General features: G+C 39.6%; 1 annotated feature.

Moving 5' to 3' along the window:
- Positions 1,418-1,918: an enhancer, noted in NCBI's record as "H3K27ac hESC enhancer chr2:150891977-150892477 (GRCh37/hg19 assembly coordinates)". NCBI's record gives its function as "activates a minimal SCP1, AML or CMV promoter by ChIP-STARR-seq in primed H9 embryonic stem cells {active_cell/tissue: H9 hESC(primed)}" and the evidence as "EXISTENCE:reporter gene assay evidence [ECO:0000049][PMID:30033119]".

A 4,053-nucleotide genomic window follows, 5' to 3' on the forward strand; every position in this document is an offset into this window, starting at 1 on the left:
AAAAACCTGTGAAAGAGCACCATTTCACTATATATCTGCACACACACACACTCTATAACATTGTGATCAATGGAACGAATAAAATCACTAAAATAAAGCCTAGTGAATTTAATCATTTTCCCTTTTTTGTGAAAGCTAATTATTTACTTGTCTTTGTGAAAATCATTAATAAATCTCTTGATTTCAGGAAGTAGTTGACAATGTCTCTAGCTGTACCCGTGGATAGAGGAAAAATATATAAATTGGGAGATTTCTATATCTGGTAATAGCAGGGTACGTAATTCAACCAACACTCCTGCCAAAGACTGCTATCAAAGCTGGACAAAATATGTTTTTAAATATCTTTGATGGCACTGGGAAGTTAACAAAAGGATAAAGAACTACTGAGTATTTTGGAGCTGTTTTTCTCTTAGTACACTTTCTCATTTCAATGGTAGTAGCTGAGAGCGTAAAAGACTTCATGGTGCTTTTAATGCCTCACTAAAAGGGCCATTTCACTAGTGAGAAAGGGATTGGATTTCAAGGCTACACTGGGAGCCCTGATGAAAGTCCTTTGCAGGCCATTGGAATCAGAAACATCAGAATCCTCGGAATTATAGTAAATTGCAAGTAGACGGTTGTACTGAAGACCACAGCATAGTATTTAATGATCTTGATTCCTGAAATTGGATTGATGGGATCAGAGGGACCTAGCAGGGTAGAATATAATGTCATTTAGGCCTCAAATTATTTCTGCAAAATATTTTGCTAATACAATGACTAGCAACAAACCAAAGTAACAACACACTTTTAAAAAAACAAGCCAAGATGAGTAAACGACAAATAGAAACGGAACTGAGCAACCACAGGGGCTCCAGATATTAGAGTCATCAAAAACAGGCTTTAAAACAATTATGCTTTTTTTTTTTTTCTCTTCAAGATGACTGACTAGGGACATTGTATACTAGTTCCTCAGAAGGAAGATTAAAGTTATTAGTGAATTGCTAAGTTTTGAGTGGAAAACGGAGGGAGGAGAGCTAGGACCCACCAGAGAGCACATGCAAAGATGCTGGGATAAACAGTGAAAAAAAGCAGTAAAAGTCTGCTGAGATAGAACCCTGAGGAGCTCAGAGCCCAGTGGAAAATGTATGTGGAAACACTTCTCTGCTTCTCTCACCCTTCTGACACTCTGCTAAGTGCAGAGCCTACTTGAGGAGTGCCTGTGCCCCCACAACCAAGGGCAACACTATCGGTGGCAATTAGAGATCTTCCCGGGAATAGAGAACTGGGTGACCAGCTCGTATAGCCATGCCACACTCCTGTCACACACAGACTGAAACAATGGGCAGCATACTGGCTGTGTACCCATGGTGCCACTCTCCTCCCTGCGTATCTTCTACTCTTGAGCCATAGCACCAGCAGGCTGCCCATAGATGTGTGCCACAACCCGCTCTGACTTTGGCAAGGCCAGGGAACCAGCGGATCCTCTGGGAGTTGTGGGTCCCTTGGAGATCTAACCCTTAGTGTGAACTTCCCCTAAGGGAGGGGGACTGCAGCCCACCAAAGCCCCCCTGGGCCACAGGAAACATGGATGCGGTGCCAACTGCTGGCACCAAAGCCCAGGAACAGACACGAAGAGGGGGTCATCTCTTATTTCCTGTGCCCCTCCCCAGTGCACTGTTGCAGACATGGCAGTGTTTATTCCCACTGGGGACTGTTGAGCATGCGCTGGAAGGAGGGACTTTTTGTACTTATCCAGTGGCTCTACACCCACTGCAAGCAAGGGCACACTGGAGGAGGGTATTTTCTGTGGTTTTTAGCAGCTCTGCCCCCACTGAGGGCAAGCATATGCTGAGAGTCTACCTGATGGTGGTTACATTAAGGGCCATCTATTGCACTGCATCCTGAATTACACAACCAAAAAAAAAAAAAAATGCATTGCTTCAACAAGCAGTACCTGAAAAAGCCACTGCACAAACTTATCTGCAACCAAGGAACCTGTACAGAGCCTTGACACTCTGAAAGCACCCAGAAACAAAGCCAATCAATCATACACAACATACACCACAGTCATAAACTCAAGGGAAAAAAAAGAATTTAAAACTCAAAAAGTCCTATCCAACTGATAGCATATTCACAAAAAGAAGCATCAGCTTCCTCAGATGAGGAAGAATCAGTGCAAGAACACCAGCAATACAAAAAGCCTGAGTGTTTCGTCACTTCACAAGGATCACACTAGCTCCCTAGCAATGGACCTTAACCAGATTGAAATGTCTGAAATGAACAGATATAGAATTCAAAATATAGTTGGCAAAGACACTCAATGAGATCCAAGAGAAAGTTGAAATCCAATACAAAAAATCCAGAGGAAAGATCCAAGATATGAAAGACAACATAGCTATATTAAGAAAGAACCAAACAGAAATTCTGGAATTGAAAAATTCATGACAGGGATTTCAAACACAGTTGGAAGCCTTAACAACAGACAAGACCAAGCAGAAGAAAGAATTGTAGAACTTGAAGACCAGTTTTTTGAATTAACCCAGTCAGACAAAAGCAAAGCTTCAGAAACTGTGGGATTATGTAAAGCAGCCAAACCTACAGTGTATTGGCATTTCTGAGAGAGAACAACAAAAACTAAGTAAATTGGAAAACATATTTCAGGTCATAATTCAGGAAAATTTCTCCAATCTTGAAAGAAAGGTTGACATGCAGATACAAGAAATTCAGAGTACACCTGCAAGATACTACATAAGACAATTATCCCAAAGGCACATAGTCATCAGACTATCCAAGGTGAAAGTGAAAGGAAAAATCTTAAAAGCAGCTAGAGAAAAGGGCCAAATTAACTATAAAGGAAATCCTATCAGATTAACAGTGGACTTCTCAGCAGAAACCTTACAAGTCAGAAGAGACTGGGAGCCTATTTTGAGCCTCCTGAAAGAAATGCCAAGCAAGAATTTCATATCCCATCAAACTGAGCTTCATAAATGAAGGAGAAATAAAATCTTTCCCAGGCAAAATCACAAAACAAACAAACAAAACACTAAGAGAATTCATCACCACCAGACCGGACCCACAAGAAATAGTCAAAGGAGCTCTAAACATGGAAAGGAAAGGATGATACTTGCTACCACAAAGCACACCTATATACAAAGCCCATAGACCCTATAAAGCAACTACCCAATCAAGACTACAAAGCAACTAGCTAACCACATTATGGCAGGAACAAAACCTCACATATCAATATTAACCTTGAAAGTAAACAGCCTAAATGCTTCATTTAAAAGATAGAGTAGCAAACTGGATTTTAAAACAAAAAAGACCCAACCTCATGCTGACTTCAATAGACCTATCTCACATGTAATAAAACCTATAGTGAGCCTAGGGTTGGAGAACAATCTGTCATGCAAATAAAAAACAACAAACAGCAGAGGCCACTATTCTTATATCAGATAACATATACTTTAACAACAACAAAAAAGGACCAAAAAGGGCATGACATGATGAAAAAGGGTTCAATTCAACAAAAATAACTATCCTAAATATATGCACACCCAACTTTGGAATACCCAGATTCATAAAACAATTAGTTACAGAACTAGGAGAAAACTTAGACAGCCACACAATAATAGTGGGGGACTTCAACACCCCACTGACAGCATTAGACAGATCATCGAAAGAGAAAACTAACAAAGAAATTCTAGAATTAAATTGGACGCTTGACTAATTGGACCTAATAGAAATCTACAGAATACTCCACCCATCAACCACAGAATATGCATTCTTCTCCCCTGTGCATGGAACATACTCTAAGATTGACTGCATGCTTGGTAATAAAGCAAGTCTCAATAAATTCAAAGAAATCAAAATCATCCTAAGCATCTTTTCAAACCATAGTGGAATAAAAATAGAAACTAAGTGTATACTGTCAAAACCACGCAAATCATGGAAACTAAACAAATTCCTCCTTAATAACTGGGAAAATAATAAAATCAAGGGAAAAATTTAAAAAAATTCTTGGAAACAAATGAAATTAGAAACACAACATATCAAACCCCTGAAAGCAGCAAA

Source organism: Homo sapiens, chromosome 2, assembly GCF_000001405.40.
Source record: "Homo sapiens chromosome 2, GRCh38.p14 Primary Assembly".
Taxonomy (NCBI): domain Eukaryota; kingdom Metazoa; phylum Chordata; class Mammalia; order Primates; family Hominidae; genus Homo; species Homo sapiens.